At 37.3% G+C, this 18,523-nt stretch overlaps 1 protein-coding gene across 4 annotated transcripts in view; it reads left to right on the top strand.

The window, feature by feature from the left end:
• ASB4 (ankyrin repeat and SOCS box containing 4) overlaps positions 1-18,523 on the top strand; it is an 80,662-nt gene that overhangs the window by 10,007 nt on the left and 52,132 nt on the right. For 3 of the 4 annotated variants that reach the window (XM_017012303.2, NM_016116.3, NM_145872.3), the window contains exons 1-2: positions 5,281-5,496; positions 15,096-15,395. In XM_017012303.2, the coding sequence (XP_016867792.1) occupies positions 5,310-5,496; positions 15,096-15,395 (487 nt within the window). In that variant the 5' untranslated portion in view covers positions 5,281-5,309. Of the gene's footprint in view, positions 1-5,280; positions 5,497-15,095; positions 15,396-18,523 lie in introns of those variants that run through there. The other variant, XM_047420471.1, reaches the window with a different exon arrangement.

Below are 18,523 nucleotides of genomic sequence, written 5' to 3' on the forward strand. Positions count from 1 at the left end.
TTTTAAAGGGGATTGTCTAACCCCCGACCTTTGTGTCTTTAGTTTGAGGCCACAGACATCATAGAGCAGAGACAAGCCTTTCCCACTGTGTCCTGATCCACAGAAACCATGAGAGATAATAAATGATGACTGTTGCTTTAAGCCAATACATTTTGAGGTTATTTGCTATGCAGCAAAAGATAACTAATACAGTGTCTGGCTCATAGTAAGTTCCCAAAAAATATTTATTGAATGAAGGGCTAAATGTGAGCTGATTTCTTACTAGATTACTCAGTGATCAAATAGAATATCTAATTAACCTGAAAAAAACCATATAAAAATCCATTTGAGCAATAGGAACATTGGTTGGGAGTGTCAAGATCTAGGCTTGAGTGTTATATCTGCTGCTTATTTGCTATCTGACCTTGTATAATTCATTTATAGTCTTTGATTCTTAGTTTACCTGATCTGTAAACTAGAAATAATGATAACAATTAAAATTTTACCACAAATAATACCTCCTGCCTGGAAGAGCCTTGTTGACATTGAGAACTTCTGGATCAGACCTCTGCTGAAACCCAAACACTACAACTGGAATTTTCCATTATAGGAACCAATAAATCTTTACTGGTTCAGTTCCAGTTGCTGGTGTTACTTACAAACAAAGGCATCTTTATGCTAAGCATTAACACTAACCTATAAAAGAATAGCAAAAAAAGGAAAAAAAAACAACAAGATGACGTGTAATAAGTAAGATGCTACATATTACAGAAGTATAACAGATGAGAAGAAAGGGATGTCAGACCACTTAATCATCCATTTCTGTAATAGCAAGGACATCTAATTCAGCTGCTGAGAAAGTCAGGAGGCCCAAGGGGTTCTGTTGCCACAGAAATTCTAGTTTCCAATTCTAGCTGGCTTCAAATTTCTTCCCTATGGTTGCATTTGATAAGTGATTGTGGCTTAGTAGCATCAAATTCATGTTTAAATGCCATGATAAACCAAGGAGCCATTTGTGTTCCAGAGAAGATATTCCAAGTAGACAGATTATGTTGTACACAGACAAGCATCTGGGACTTTGTGCCTGCTGTCTCAGCCATGGGTCCCCAGAGAGTACACCAGGGTCTTACGGGCCACTTGCCACATCATTGCCTTGTCAGAAAGGTCTTCATACTATTTCAAGAGCAAAGGACACTGTTCTGGACATGTAATGAAACAGTAATAAAAAGCTCATCTTATAGAATGGAGAGTTTTCATTTTTAAGAGCTGAGGAGACAGGAATTTCTGACAGGCCTGACTAGACAGTGTGAAACATGACCACTGTGTAATTTGACCTCCTGAGGTGAGTTGAAGCGGTGGCTTGGATAGTGGAGGCAGGTCTCACACCTGCTATTAGCATTGGTGGCATTGCTTCCTATGTTAGAAGGACTTTGATGGGCAATTTAATTAAGCTGCTATTTGCTTTGTAGGTGCAAATAATCTGTAAGTTTTATCCTTTGCTGCTCAGGTAAAATAATCAATTGATTTTTAGCAGAATTATATAGATAACATTTTCAACTTGATACATTTTTTAAATGAAAATTTGCTTTGTTTGTTTTCTTGGATTATTCCACGAAGTTTAGATACAGTATTTATTTATATAGCTATGGGACAAGACTGAAATAGCTTCTGTGGGAAAAATTATAGCCATCTCTTTAGGCTAAAATTTTAAATTTGCATCCAGATATTAAAGCAATGCTTTAAAATTTCATTCTGAAGTCATGTTCCCTGTGGCCTTTGACCTTGAGGGCCAAGTTTTGAAGTTTGCCAACCTGAGGAAAGGACTGAAGGACAATCTGTCCATTGATCAGCTTTAAGTCTCAATGCAGACACTTACAAAGACAGCCGTTGTGAGACTCAAGGATTAGGAAATGAGGATATTTCTAAATCACCTTATCTCCTTATTTAGCATTTCAAGGACCACGCCTGAAGGACTCACGTCATAGGGTTTCTTTCACAAGGCAAAGATGATAACCATTCCACCTCTGGAGGGAGATCAATAGGCTTGCTGACGTAGGGAGAAAAAGAAAAGCTAGAGAGGCAGTAAATTGTCCAACTGGACCCTTGTAGCTAGGAAGGCTAGAAGTCTTGATGGATTATGAGAGGATATATAGCCTGATCCAGGGGTCAGATGGCATGTACTCAGCCCTCCTCACACACTTCTTCCGGGGTTGAACTTTGATGGGATGGGGGGTGGTTTAGAAACAACCAGATATGCCTGAGGAAGTTCGAGGACACTGAGGTTAGCGGCTCAGCATTAGAGAGAATGTAGACCCCTTGGGAACTCCATTCCTTAGCTTAGGTTCATGTCTATTCTGGCCCTAAGAAGATGGCACAATAGAAGATGACTTGTTCTTCATCGTCCTTGTCAGCCGACGGGCTGCAGCGTTTGAGAACATCAAAACTGGAGTCAAATGATCAGAATCACACACTCTAGTAGCCAGATAGGACCAAGTAAGTGACGACCCATTCTGCCACGGAGATATCAGGGAGGGTCCAGAGGACAATGAGTCCATCTGAGGACCCCCTTTTCTTTCAGTCACCATGAGGTCTCGTAAGCTGCACTCTTACTGCTGACTGCTATTCACTTGATACACGTGGTCTGGCCATACTGGTAATTTATGACAAAAGTCTCTTCTAGTTAATACCAGTTGTTAAATATTAGCATTGTGAATATTGTTCCTCCATGTATCCCATATTCCCTGAAGCTCTCTTAGAGGGAAAGCCTGAACTCTCAAACACAGAGAATTTTATTCAAAGAGACTGATCATTTACCTAAAGAGACTGCTAAATATTTGGATCAGATTAACACATCAGGTTGGACAAAATTAAATTGTCCTTCTTTTTGCCACTGAGTTAGGTGGGGAGACCCATAATGGGGGATCAGATCAAATGATTAGATATAAACAAACTATATTATTTTTGTATGAAATTTAGTATATTTGCAGCTTTGTGACAAATTCTAGTGTATGGGAAATGGAGGCGATCTAGGGATTCCCATCGCCACTTAAATCTGTTAGTGAGCTAAGTTACACACGGGCAGGGATTTCTGTGTTTGTTCACTGCTGTATCTGCAGTGCCCAGAATAAGTGTCTGACAAATGGTAGATACTCGATGGGTATTTGTGGAAAGAATCATAACAATAGCATAAAACAGACTTGCAAAGTGCTCCCTAAAAATGCCAATACAATTTCAACAAAAGCAGTGTGTCACAGAGAGTCAGTTGGGAGCCAATCCCTTGGTTGAGGAAGTATTTCCATATATGGCTCTTTTTGTTGTTGCTATTTTTCAAAAATTATATAATTTAAAATCTTCAAAAATTGTAAAATGTTTAACATTAAAAAGTAAAAAAAAAAAAAAAAAATTGTCAGGCATAGTGGCTCATGGCTGTAATCCCAGCGCTTTGGATGGCTGAGGCAGGAGGTTCGCTTAAACTTAGGAGTCGGAGATCAGCCGGGGGAACATGGCAAAACCCTGTCTCTTCAAAAAAACACACAAAATTTAGCCAGATGTGCTGGTTGCATGCCTATAGTCCTAACTACTCCAGAGGCTGAGGTGGGAGGATGGCTTGAGCCTGAGAGGCAAAGGTTGCAGTGAGCCCAGATCACACCACTGTGCTCCAGTCTGGTGACAGAGTGAGATCCTGTCTCAAAAAAAAATAACAAACAAAACTAATCTATAGTATTAGAAGTTAAGATTTATTGTTATCTCTTTGAGGCAGGTGTTTTGATTAGAAGAGGACATAAAGGGGGCTTCAGGTAAACTTGAACTAGTCTATGGTTTAACCTCAATGTTGATTACATGAGTTTGTTCACTAAAAATTTGACAAGCTGTATACCTGTAACTTGCCAATTTCTTGCATTTATATTACACATCAATAAAATAAGTTTAAAATTATGTTGTGATTTGCATCATTTACATGCTTAAGTAAATTCTAAGAATCAAATAGTATCATTGTAAGTTTTTAAAAATTCATGTTTTTAATTATTCTGCAGAAAGTTTGCACCAGTTTTGACTTCCACAAACGACATATAAAAATGCAATTTATTTGCATTCTCTTTAGAACTTGCTATTATAATTTTCCTAATTTTTAATGATTTTATGTAAGAAAAATTAAGTGTATACTTTTCTCTCCAACTTTTTATTTGAAAAATTTCAAACTTACAGAAAAGCTGAAAGAATAATGTAATGGATACCAATATATCCCTTACTAGATTCACCAAGTCTTTAAGTTTTTGCCACACTTGCTATCTCTCTGTTTCTATTTACACACACATATATATATGTGTGTATATATGTATATATGTGTATATATGTATATATGTGTGTGTATATATGTGTATATATGTATATATGTATATATATGTGTATATATGTATATATATGTATATACACATACACACACATCTATTTATCTGTCTGCATTTCTGAGCTATTTTTAAAGAAGTTTTAGACATCATGACAATTTATCCCTTAATGTATCACTTAAGAGTAAGAATTTTTTTTACATAACCACATTTATCATTACACTTCTATATTGTCAAGTAATATCTAGTCCACATTTATAGTTCCACAATACTGTCTTTTCTAGCTGATTAAAAAACAGGATTCAATAAAGTTCATTCACATGTTGCATTTAAATGTTTTATCTCTTCAGTTTCTTTTTTACCTAAAAGAGTCCCTGCCCCGGACCGTCTCCCCACCTCCTCCCTTCCCAGCTTTTCATATTAAAATTTTTCAAGTCTAGGTCACTTGAAAACCTCCTGTTTGTCTTCAGATATGTATGACAATGGTTGATTTTACAAGCTCATATTGCAAAATTATTACAGGTTTTTAGAAGCAAATGTATCCACAACTGTAACAGATTTTCATTTTTGGATATTGGCTTGTCAGAGCAAGACGCTGGATCTCCAGCCAGGCACCAGATGTTTTTATTGAGGGGAAAAAAAGAGCATTAAGAGCTTTTAAATCTTATATTATTACTTTGATCATATAAGAAATAATTGTGACATTTCATGCCTGGAAATGTATCACGGGGGCTTTCGTTCATATTGACACTATATATTACTGAATGGATCAGTTAATATATAACCAGTTTAAAGGACCTGAAAATGTAGTGACAGCCAAGAAGGATATTTTGAAGTTTGAAATGATCCCTATATAAATAGAACGGATCAGCATAACTTTGGGATAAAATTAGCCGACAGTTTGTGGACTCTCCAGCATGCGCCTGTTTGCTCGGTGCTGTTCTCTCGATAAATCACAACAAAGCTTCCAGAGGGAGAGGAAGGATGGACGGCACCACTGCCCCTGTCACTAAATCTGGAGCTGCCAAGTTAGTTAAGAGAAATTTCCTTGAGGCGCTAAAGTCCAATGACTTCGGAAAATTGAAGGCTATTTTGATCCAAAGGCAAATAGATGTGGACACTGTTTTTGAAGTCGAAGATGAGAATATGGTTTTGGCATCTTATAAACAAGGTAAAAACATATAGGTGTTATTGTAGAACTGTTAGAAAATGATTTAAAAAAATGCACAGTGTCAGTTATCCACTCTAAACAGTAGTTTTTATTGTTTCTTTAAGTATTCATTTAAAAAATATTTCTAAATTGATATTTTCTTTCTTTTTAAACTAAAACACATTGTGGGCTGATATATATGTATAAGTCGTGTCTCTCCTTTTCTTTTCCCACCCTTGGGCCTAGGACTTGAAATCCCAGACAATCATTTTTAGCAATGCACTCTCTCTGTTTTTAACTTTTCTTCTGACTATGATGATATAGAAGGAAGAAAACATTTTTAGATTATGGCTAAGCAGATTGTTGAAACCCTATCTTAGACAATGTACCTGGTTTAAGAACACGCTGCTAATTCTCCATTAACAGCTACTTAAAGATATATCCTCTCTATGTCCATGTGGATGAAAAAGAGGAATCTCCCCAACATTTGGAGGGTTAATAAATGGATAAAGCGGTGCCACAGGCACCTTCATGGTCTTCTTCATTTTAATGAGTTTTCAGTTCAGGCACAAAAGCTGAATTCAGCAAAACCAAAAAGTTAACTTTTTTCCTGGACTACAATAATTGTTCAAAATTGTAGATGTGTTTAATACAGAATATCTGTCTTATAACGACCTAAGGAAAACAAAAATTAGACCAATTTTTTTTTACCAAGGAATTTTCTGGAACCCATGCTTAATAAATCAGAAATGAATTAGAGTTCCACTGATTCTGATTTCCCAAATCAACTGGTTAATTGGGGGAACGTGAGTAGTTAGATCATCTGGCGAGCATACTGCAAACATGCTGCTCAACATCACTAATGTTTAATACAATATAGATGCTAAGGTCTTGTGTATAGCATTTAGAGACAGTCATTATTTTAATGTTTAAAAATGATTTCTGGCCATCTATAAATCATCAGTATAATACATTTCCAGATACAAATGCTAATGGTACAGTATATATTTCTTCATTAATTTACTGTCCTCCGATTGTCAGTTCTGAGGGACATATAGAAGAGCTCAGGCTAGTTACTATGTTTATGATTTTTACTCAAGGGCTTTATAATATTTTGGCATTAATGGCATTAATATTTTGATGGGAAGACAAAGAAGGGATCTATTTTTTAAAAAGTTTATGGGGTCTGTTAGAAAATTTGTATACTATATAATCAGATTGCTTTCATCTTATAATTTTGTTCAGTGATAGAATGTCTGAATGCTAAACTAATTTTTAAGATGTTTTTAAAAAGCTTATATTTGTGCCTAGGGTGAAATAACTCAGGTTCAAGTCAGTGGGTAAGTTATTTGACCCTGAGTTGCAAAGACTGTCTTCTCTCATCTGAGCAGGCCAAGTTGCACAGATTGTGGGAAGTTTCTGAGGATATAAGAAACCAAGTTTTAGGTGCAGGCTCTAGGGAAGTGGAGGGGAGAGGTGGGGTTGGTTCTCCTACTTCCACCGGTGTCATCTTCCTTGAAGGAAAAGAAAATACATTTTAAATTCTTCTTGTCAATATGAGCTGACTCCTATGGTCCTCATAGAGCTAAATTTTCATTCCCACGAATTGAGGTGTTTTCATAGTGTTAGGACTGTGGGATGTGGCTTTCAATTAGGGAGATAGCAAATTACACCCTCTGGAAAAGGAAAAGAACAGTTCCATTCTTATGTATGCCAAGTGGATGCTTGCACAGAACTAGTAAAATTTGTGGTCTTACTTTTAGGGTTTATGCAGGAAATTTGTGTCTGCACTCATGTGTAGAAAGAAACACACTTGAAACACACTTCTCCACTACTCTGTTTAATACGCACATGGGCACAAGGACCTGTCTCTTTAGTCTTAAACCCAGGTTAAAACTTCATCTTTCTTAAAAGTTTCTTCAGGCCGGGAGTGGTGGCTCACGCCTGTAATCCCAGCACTTTGAGAGGCCGAGGTGGGCTGATCACGAGGTCAGGAGATAGAGACCATCCTGCCTAACACGGTGAAACCCCATTTCTACTAAAAATACAAAAAATTAGCCAGGCGCGGTGGCGGCCGCCTGTAGTCCCAGCTACTCCCGAGGCTGAGACAGGAGAATGGTGTGAACCCGGGAGGCGGAGCTTGCAGTGAGCCCAGATGGCGCCACTGCACTCCAGCCTGGGTGACACAGGGAGACTCCGTCTCAAAAAGAAAAAAAAAAAGAAGTTTCTTCCAATTTTTTTCACATGCTTCCAACCTTATCATCGATCCTTTTAAACTTAGGAATGGAAAGTTAGGAATGGAAATGACAAATAGAATCCTAGCTGCTAGTAGATCTAAGTGGTTATATCAATTTCTTAAGTCATAAAGTCATTGTCAGGCAACAGCGTGGAGCTGAGCAGTCTACAGTGGTTAGTTAGTTCTTTTCTAAATAGTTCAAAGGAATAGGACCCATTTCTGTGTGGCCTTAAAAGGTATGTGGCTGGATTAAAGTTTGTGAGACTTTATTAAATCAAAGGAGAAGTTTTGGACCTTGGACGCTGTTGAACTGCTACACACTGCTCTTTGATTTTTTTAAAGCACTTTTGAAAAGCTCTCCGCAAAAGTGCATAAATAAGTGTGCAGCTTGATTACTTTTCACAAAATAACAAACCTATGTAACCAGCATCCAGATGAGGAAACAGAGCATTCCTGTTTACTTTTAAAGTGTGGGAATCTTCAGGTTTCAGTTATTTTTGGCTTAATAAGAAAGACAATGCACAAAACCTATAACGAATCTCATGCTACTCTTAAATTTCCTTGTGTAATCAATACTAAAATTCTATATTCAACATTTGATAGTCCTATAGAAAGTGAAAAGTAGTACAATCAATTCTAAACCATTCTTATTTATTTAGAACATACAGCATTTTTATAGGATTTAAGAAGTAACTAAATTTTATCCCTAAATATAGTCCATCTAAGCCTATATGAAAGTCAGTGTATAATTTTTGAAAAGGGAACTCAGAACTCTGCTGGCAAATAAATCACCTAAAATCTAAATAGTGCTTCCCAAATTTACAATCTACTGGGCACACCAGTAATCAAAAGTTTAGCTCATAAGCAAATATGAAATGTGTATTTTGTGAGGAAGACAGAATAAAGCTATTGGATTACAAATAAGTCTGGAAGCTCATTTCTGCTTTCCTCTGTAGCACTGGGCCCATCTCATTGAATAGCTTCTCTTACCAATTTGGCAGAGAACAGATTTAGAAGCCAGCCTCCAGAGTTCATGTTCAAACTGTGGATCCTGTCTTTCTCCAGCACCTAATCATGATTCTTAAAGTTAGAGAGCTCTCACTTTACTTTTCTAAGTTATTTTAAGCTTCATAATAAAATCTGCAGATGAAATCATGTTTTATTAATTTAAAGAAACTTTTCTCACATTTTGTAAAGCAAACATTTAAAATGTGCTGGTTGGCATTTGAGAGACCTCCCTGGGAATGGCGGAGATAATGGGTCTTAAAAGCAAAAACAAGTAAGCCAAAATTGCGTTTACCAGATGATCACTTTAAAATAAAAACGATATAAAGAAAACATAAAGAATGACTTTCTAACTGCCAAATGCAATAAGTCATTGAAAGTCAAGGGATGTCAGTGATATAACATTAATTATGAGCCAACCACTGAGTATTTAGAGTGAAGTCAAGCACAGAAGAAATCTTTAAAGAAAACACAAATGTCCCTTCTATTGGTTTTCACTGGTTACTTCCATACTGGAAAGACGAAGGACTGTCCATAAAACTGTTTCCAAAGGCTTTACCAACTTGATCTTCCTTCAGATGTATGAGCTTTTGCTCATAAATGATACAGGCAGAATTTCATACTTATCTCTTTGGTATGAAATTCCCTAGTCAGCAAGGTTAATCAGAGTCCTTTTATTAATCAGGGTAATGCACTTTAAGTACTTCGTTTATGGCCCATAGCCACTGATTCCTTGGTTGGTAGTCATATTTTTAATTAAAATAACCAATGAATGATTTCACTTAAAAAACTTTCTGGCAGGTACTCTGTTTCCTTTACTAAGTAGCAACTTATATCCCAATATTGTGAAAGCTCTTATTTCCACTCTCTGAATGAATAATTTCTTTATCACCTAATTTTCCTCTTTGCCAGAAATTCACTCTCCTGCTTTCCCATTTCCATCCTAGGGTTCTTTTCCTTTCTTCGATGTTCAAACTTTTTTCTTTTACATTTTACACTTCAAACTTGCTTTTATCCCCCCTTCCCAGGGGAACTTTGAGTTATCTGGAAAATATTAGCTATTAAAAAATAGCCAAGAATTGTGCTTCAGTCTGTAATCCTTCAGGACTGTGTAAATACATGGACACAGGCAGAGCAAATGTCTGCTAATCCAGCCACGAGCAGTGTGTGTAACCTTTGGCTGTAATAACAGAGGCTTCTCATGTGTGGGGTTCTTTTGACTCAGATAACATTATAGTTGATAACTGTTGCAGAGCCCAGGCTTAGCTGAAGGTTTACCAGAAATGTGTACATCCTCTCCAAACGCTGGAGCAGAACCAATCCCCTCTTCCAAAAGAAGGCCCAAACACTTTGCTCCTTGCTATATTTCTAGGCAGCTTTCTACCCAGCTATTGGGGCATATCTCTTTGGTTTCAGATTTAAATTAAACACACACGCGCACGCGTGCACACACACACGATTAGTCTGCATATTTTCTTTTCAGGGATAAAACTTCTCAAATTCCTTTAGAACTTTTAGCTACAAGTGATATCAGTTTGGAGGTAAACTGCATGTAGCCTTCGGATCATAGACGGCTATTTAAAGATTTGGGGGCAATGGAGTTTGAGAGTTAGAGTTGATTCTGTGGGTACTTGTTATATGAACATGGACACTTTATACTACTTAACCTCTTCCAGACTAATTATCTTCATTTGTAAAATGGAAGCTTTGACAAGACCCTCTCTAAGTTCAGATTCTGGCATGCAGATAATTAATCACATTATGAAGGTGAAACTATGTAAACAGATTATGTATCATGGTCAAAGCCACATGGGCATGGCCTGTATTTGGGAGTTCCTGTGGGTTTTGTACACAGGGGAAATAATCTCTATTTTTCTTTTCTTCTTAGTGGAGCTTCTTATTCAAACAGAACTCTTCTGCAAGGAGCTGTCACTGCACACAGACTCTAGACATGGGGTAGCGTGTGAGTGGTTTACATTAGAGGGAGGCAGCCGCTGCTTCACCTCCCACCCCTAGCTCCCATGGGCTTGGTTCCCCGGTTCTCCCTCACCTCTGTCCTTTGTGAAGTCTAAACACATAGTAAAAGGGCAGCCTGAAGTCTGCAGAGGTGAGCAGAGGGGGGCTTTTGAAAGACAAATACTAGGAATAAATCACATTCTAGGTTTCGAAGCCCTGGAAAAATTTTGCTGTGGGAAGAAGGGAGTGTGTAAAAAATGAATCTGCCTCATCAGTTAATTGTGTTTCTAGCATGCTGTGGTCATTGGTGGTTATATTTTGGGGGACAAATTCTGATCTCTTGACATATCAGCATCAGCAGAAGATTGTGAATAGGCACAGCCTCATCTGTAGTTTTTGAAGATAGCTTTACCTGGGGTTTGGTCCTCCATGACAGTAAGTGTATTTACTTCCACACTTGCTACACAGTGACCTGTAGGCCCAGCCTCATTTTAAAGTGATGATTGTACGCTGATGGCCCTTTTGCCAGGGGCTGCTCTTTTCTCTGCTCAAAGCAGCAGACTTTCCTGATATGCTCAGGGCTGAATTATTCAAAAATCCCTAGCCCCACATTACCACCAAAGTTTTGCAACACAGCTTCCAGATACACTTCAGTATACCCTAAGCTATAGCCTGCAAACTGTCCTCTTGCCATTTCTCCACTTCAGCTCCCCAGAGGCAGCAGCTAAGGTGTCTTGTTACCACCTACCTACACACATTCCTATCTTAGGAGAGGTGAGTTGTAACCACAACTCCATTCTGGGAGTTGGCTGAATTCCAGGACCTTGTAGTCTGTGAGCCTGATTGACCAGATAATGTTTATGATTACAGGAGATGCAGAAGAAACTGACTGAGAGGCCAAGGATGACTGACTCACATAATACACGAACAGGATAGAGTCTTTAGGTGCTACCTGGAAGTTAGGAGGAGGAAAAAAATTCAACTAGCAAATGCATTTCCATATCAGAGATGTGAAATATTACAGATGAATTGAGGATCTTCTTCCTTTCCTTGTGATTTGTGAAGCAGGCTTGGAGGTAATTCTATTCTGCTTCCACAAAGACAAAGACAGATGAAAACTGCATTGCGGGTATTCTGAGTCCATGAGTTTGGATTGAGGCAGGCAACTCATGGCTCTAGCAGGCTGAAAAAGTGGCAGTTTTCTCATCTGGAAAATGAAAGGCTTGGACTGGATAATCTTCCCTCCAGCGCTAACATTCTGTGTTTCTTTGATTTTACATCAAAATGGTGTTTTCTTAATCAGCTCTCTGCTGCTTCCTTTCTGGGATCATTTTTCTTCCCATTGCAGAAGCAGGCGCAAATTTCCAATCAGTTGTCACAGAGAGCTGCCTAATTTTTGCTGTTAATCAGCAGGCAAAACACATCCTGGTTTTCAGACCTGGAACCAACTTCTTAGGCAGTTAGGAAAGACTGTTTTTGCCAGTTGCTTTTTGAGGAAATTTGAGTATTAAAATGACTGATTAAGTATTGAAGTTAATGTGATTCGTTCATCATCAAAAGCAAGCTGCATGACATACAGCTTAGGAACTCTGCTCGGAACAGAGATTCAATGTACATAACTCAATAGAAATGTATAAATGAATCTATATGTACATACATTGTGTGTGCATATCAATTTGCACACACATACACACGAGGCGTGGAGTTGATGCTCCCCAGCCCAGACTGTCTATGACACTACTTAGTTCTGCCATGGAAAGTCCATATAATCCAACACCATCTCTTCCCAGTGTCTGGAATCTCAAAGTAATATATTAGAATTTAATTCTATTAGCTGAATATAGATTCTTCTATAAATTCAGATAATCCTCAGAGTGATCATACTTTAAACAATCCTCAGTCCATTAGACCTTAATGTGAAATAACTGGATTTCTTTTTAAAGAGGAGATTTGGATAAAGGGAAAGGTGGGAGAGAGAGAAAGCAAGATGGCTCTAGAATTCTGAATGGAGTAAAAAAGAGATGAAAGTGTGTGTGTGTGTGTGTGTGTGTGTGTGTATGTGTGTGTGTGTGTATAGCTAGGTTGGAGGATACATTACAGAAAGACAGACAAACTTTGGGTTGAGTTCATTCATTCCTGTGGGATTAATCACTGTGCACAACCTTGTAAATAGCTTCTTTAAATTAAATTATTTTTTCCCCTCTGGACAGAGAGACAATAGCTTATTTTGATTTTATTTATTTTTGTTAAAAAGCAATACATGCACAGGATACTAAATTTAGAAGTTGCCAAGGAGGTAACTTGGTATGTTACCTCCTTGTAACAAGAACAAGTGCATTTCTGTCCTGATCCCCCAACCCCCCAGTTCTTCTTGGAGGCCACCACTATAACCAGTTTCGTGTTCTCAGTGTTTACAAATGTATTTGCATATGATAGCATAGTTTGTATACTGTTTGGCTCCCTGCTTCTCTCATTCAGTAATATATCTTGAGATCTTTCCATTTCAGTCTATATAGAACTGCCCCTTTTTTTAATGGTTGTATAGTATTTGATTGACGGATGTATCATAATTTATTTAAGCAATCTCCTATCAATTAACATGGAGGTTGTTTAACCATTCGAACAATGCTGTAGTGTAGTGCATGTTCTTGTATGTAGACCAGGTTGTCAAGATTCCTAAGTCCAGGAGCACATTTCACAGAGTACAATGCAAATGTTGTTTTTTGTGGAGTTGTGCAATACAGTGGTCCTTTAGGACATTTCACATGGGTGTTTATGCTTATAGGATAAATACCCAGGAGTGGCATGTCTCTAGTGTTTTTCACTTAAATGAGAGAAATTTAATACCTGATCACCAGGCCCACTTTTAATGTGGTCATCATCCTCAGAGCACCCTCTAGTAGTTCATCATTTCTTGTAAGGGGCAATGCCCAGCAGTCATCGTAATATTCTAGATTTCTTATGACCTTATCTAATCAGTGAAGAATACAATGTTTACTTCTCTTGTTCTGGACACTACACTTTTATTAATGTAGTTTCAGATTGTATTAGTTTTTTGGCAGTACCATCCCACTGTTGGCTTATTTTGAGATTACAGCTCAAATCCCTAGGTTGTTTCTCAAATAAATGACCATTAAATCATATTCTGCTTACTTTGTACTTGTAAGTGGAATTTTTATAATCTATAAGCAAACTTTTGATTTATCCATGTTAAAATTTATTTTGTTGTTTCAGCCCTAAAGTAACTTCTACGCTGTGACTGTTGAAGAACTATCTCTTCATCTTCTTGCCCTCAGTATTTTTTCTTTCTGTACCTATTTTCCGTTCTCCATTCATAAAAGCTTAAATGCTATGGCTATTGGCATTGACATAGAAAGAAGGTTTATAAAGTCATCATAGTTATAGCTTGTCAAATGTGGCAATAGTTGCAGATTTATAGAAAAAAGACCAGCTCAGCGTATAGAAGTCAGAGATCAGTGGGAGAAAAGAGAGAGAGAGAGGCAGAGAGAGAGAATGCACATTTCCAAAAACCAATGGGAAAAATTATTGAAGATCTCAGTTCTAGGCACATCTATGCTTCCCCTGCCCAATCATTTATGTATGGCTTGTAGACATAGTTAATTATGCAACATATCTTATTTTCCTGTTTATTTTGGCTGCTAGGAAATTCAAAGGCAAATTTGCAATGCCATTCTAGTGTATAGGATACAGTTTATATTTTGTGTATGTATTTGTCTTACTTTTGACATTTTTATTTTCCTACTTTTTTATTTTGCCCTTATTTTCTAAATCGTTTAAAAAATCTTTAAGTGTGTGAAAGTTGAGAGTTGCCTTAAATTCGTCTTTGGAAAGCGATATTGCATAAATCAACAGGCAGGCAAATAAAATCTTGGAGTGATAATTTTTTTAAAAAGATTAAATATATTCATATGTTGGATTGACAACAACTATAGGAAAAAAGATTTTGGATAGAATAAAAATTATAAGCTTGCAACTGACAGCCTTGGAATCATTCAAGACAAACTCTCAATGATTGAAAGTTTTTTAAAAAAATATCCTTGAAGCATCTCAAATAACTCAGCATGCAAAATAAAATACAATTACATAAATGAAGATCCCAAACTTAAATGCCTTCAAGACCTAGAAAGGTAAAGTAAATAAAGGAACAAGACACAGTAATAAGAAACAGTAGAGACAGTGAGAGCTTGAGAAAGCCTGTTCCCCTGATGAATATCAGAATATGCTATTTAACAAAACGCTTGCAGACCCATTAGCTATTAGTTTAAAACCTCTGTCATCCCCTCTCCACCCCACTTTTATAAATGTGGCCAAAATAAAATACTTGTAAAAATCCTCACAAAACAGGGAGAAAGCCTAGGTCAAGAAGTTAAACTTTCCTTTTCCTTTTTTTTTTTTTTTTCAGGTTACTGGTTGCCTAGCTATAAATTGAAGTCTTCCTGGGCCACAGGCCTCCATCTCTCTGTCTTGTTTGGCCATGTGGAATGTCTTCTGGTGCTACTGGACCACAATGCTACAATCAACTGTAGACCCAATGGGAAAACCCCTCTTCACGTGGCTTGTGAAATGGCCAATGTGGATTGTGTTAAGATCCTCTGTGATCGTGGGGCAAAGCTCAATTGCTACTCCTTAAGTGGACACACAGCTTTGCACTTTTGTACAACTCCAAGTTCCATTCTCTGTGCCAAGCAATTGGTTTGGAGAGGTAAGCCTTTCTGGGTGGCCAACATTGTTGTCTGCTTGTACACTCATGGTTTCAAGACTTTGTGACCCCTACCTACCCCAGATGATGTAGTAAGCATAAAGATGCAATTATGCCTAGTACAGAAGGCCCTAAAAAATACATAGTTCTGTTGATTCAGGTAATTCAATGATGATCACATTAAAATCTTATTATCTAATAGCAGGAAGTTCATTCATTTACTCATTTACTTAACAAATATTTATTTAGCTCCTATTATGCATCAGGTAATGCACTAAGTCAATGAAAAAGAGAAAATACTCCTGCCCTCAAAGAAAGTATATTCTAATAAGGGAGACAAATATTAACAAAATAAATTCATAAATATATAATTATAAATTGGGACAGTGTTTTGAAGGAGAAAACAGGAGTTATGAATGAGGATGTCAGAAGTGAATTACTATAAAATGTATAAAGTCTTCTCTAAGGATATTATGCTAGGTAGGCTGAAATTTTAAGAATGAAAAGGACGGCCAGGTGCTGTGGCTCATGCTTGTGGTACCAGAAGTTTTGGAGGCTAAGGTGAGAGGATCACTTGAGCCCAGGAGTTCGAGACCAGTCTCGGCAACATAGGGAGACCCCATCTCTACAAAAAGCAAAAAAAATTAGCCGGGCATGGTGGCATGCACCTGTGGTCCCAGCTACTCAGGAGACTGAGGTAGGAGGGTCACTTGATCCCAAGAGGTCAAGGCTGCAGTGACTTGTGATTATGCCACTGCACTCCAGCCTGACTGACAGAGTGAGACCCTGTCTCAAAACAAAAAACAAAGAACAAAAACAAACAAAAAACAAATGGGAAGGAGACAGCCATTAAAAAAGAACGCCGAGAGGAAGAGGGGTCTAGCTATAGGAAATAGCTTGAGCAAAATTGCTAAGAGAGCAATAAAACTTGGAATATTAAACAGATAGAAGAGGGCTACTATGACCAGAGTATCATGGGTGTGGGGTAGGGTGGGAAGGACAAGAGGGTAGAGGGGAGTGTTACAAGATGACATTGGATGTGTTAGATCCTACAGGGCCTTTGAGGGTCAAAGTGTAGGGCTCTGAAATGGAGCCACAAAAAAGTTTTCAGTAAGACAGTGACATGATTTAATTTTCCTTTAAAGTCATTATTCTGGAGCTATGCAGAAAATAGATTGGAGGTAGACAAGAATGGAAGCAGGGAGACCAGTAGGGAAGCTATTGTAATAGTCTAGGTGAGAGAAGATGGTGGCTTGCACCAGGGGCAAGCTCAGATAGGAAGTTTAGGAGATGGGTTTGCAATACATTTTGGAAGTAGAATTGTTGGGATTCAGAGATGGATTGGATGTGGGTGGGGTGTGAAGGAAAAAGGAAGTCCCAAGTATCATTGCCTGGTTTCAGGTTTTAGTAAATAGGCAGATAGTGATGCCATTTTTTGAGGTAAAGAAACTTGAGGAAGAGGCACCTATGTAGGGATAATCATTAAATCCATTTTTTAAAAAGTCAGTTTATGGAGGTATAATTTTCACTCAGCAAAATTAACAGTACAATTTAACATTTTGAGAAATATTGTTTTTGTGAAACTATCATGCCAATCATCTTAAAAAGTTTCCTGATGCCCTTTGTAGTTAGTCCTCTCCCCCTCTACATCTACAGACAACCACTGATGTTTTCTGTCCCTATAATTTTGCCTGTTTTCAGAATGTCATATACATTAAAATATAAAATATGTAGGCTTCTGAGTCTGGTTTCTCTCACTTAGCATAATACATTTGAGATCCATCCATATGGTTGCATGGACCAATAAATTAGACCTTTTTATTGCTGAGTAGTATTCCATTGTATACACATAACAAAATTGATCTACCCCCCAGTAGAGGGACATTTGGAATGTCCTTAGGTTTTGTCAGTTTTCAAAGAAAGGCTGATATAAACATTTGCATACAGGTTTTTATGTGGACTTTTTATTTCTCTTATATAAATACCTAGGAGTGGGATGATGGCTATGTGGTAAATTTATAAGAAACTGCAACACTGTTTTCCAAAGTAGTTCTGTCATTTCGTATTTCTATCAGCAATGTATGAGAATTCCAGTTGCTTGGCAGAACTTGATAATGTGAGATAAAAAAAATTAGGCTGGGCACGGTGGCTCACACCTATAATATCAGTATTTTGGGAGGCCAAGGTGGGAGAACTGCTTGGGTCTAGGAGTTTGAGTTCAGCGTGGGCAACATCAGTTTGCAATCATTACAAACATATTAGAATAGCTAACATATTGGCTAACATTCTAAATGTCCCTCTACTGGGGGGTAGATCATTAGAATGTTAGCCATTCTAAATATGTTTGTAATGGTATCTCATTGTTTTAATTTGAATTTCTCTGATGACTAAGGATGTTGAACATGTTTTCATGTATTGATTTGCCATCTGTATATTATTTACTTTGGTGAAATGTCTGTAACTTTTACTCCTTTAAAGAAATGGGTTGCCTGTATTCTTATTGATTTGAGAGAGTTCTTGATATATATTCCGAATACTAGTCATTTATCAGATACATAGTTTGCACGTATTTCTCTTCATTCTGTGGCTTTTCTTTTCATTTTCCTAACAGTATCTTTCAAAGAGAAGAAGTATTTAGTTCTGATAAATTCAATTTACCAATTTTTTTCCTCCTAGCAAAAAATTTGTTTCATATGTTTATTTCTAGAGGTTTTGTCATTTCAGATTTTACTTTTAGGTGTAGGATTCATTTTGAGTTAATTTTTTTATATGGTATAAGTTATGGGTTAGGTTCGTCTTTTTTTATATGGATGCCCAGTTGTTTCAACACCATTTGTTGAAAAGAATATTCTTTCACCATCAAACTGCCTTAGTATTTTTGTCAAAAATCAATTGGCAATATATGTATGGGTTTATTTCTGGACTCCAGCCTATTCCATTGACCTATATATCTTTTTATTTTTTTCCCTAATGCTCCACTGACTTGATTGCCACAGGTTTGTATCAAGTCTTGAAATCAGATAGAGTGAGTCCTCCTAGATCAGTTTTAAGTATGAGAGTTTTCATATCTCTTTGAAACTTCAGTGAAAATGTCAAGGATGCACTTTATATAAAAGTATAGATTTCAGAAC

Source organism: Homo sapiens, chromosome 7 (genome assembly GCF_000001405.40).
Source record: "Homo sapiens chromosome 7, GRCh38.p14 Primary Assembly".
Classification (NCBI taxonomy): domain Eukaryota; kingdom Metazoa; phylum Chordata; class Mammalia; order Primates; family Hominidae; genus Homo; species Homo sapiens.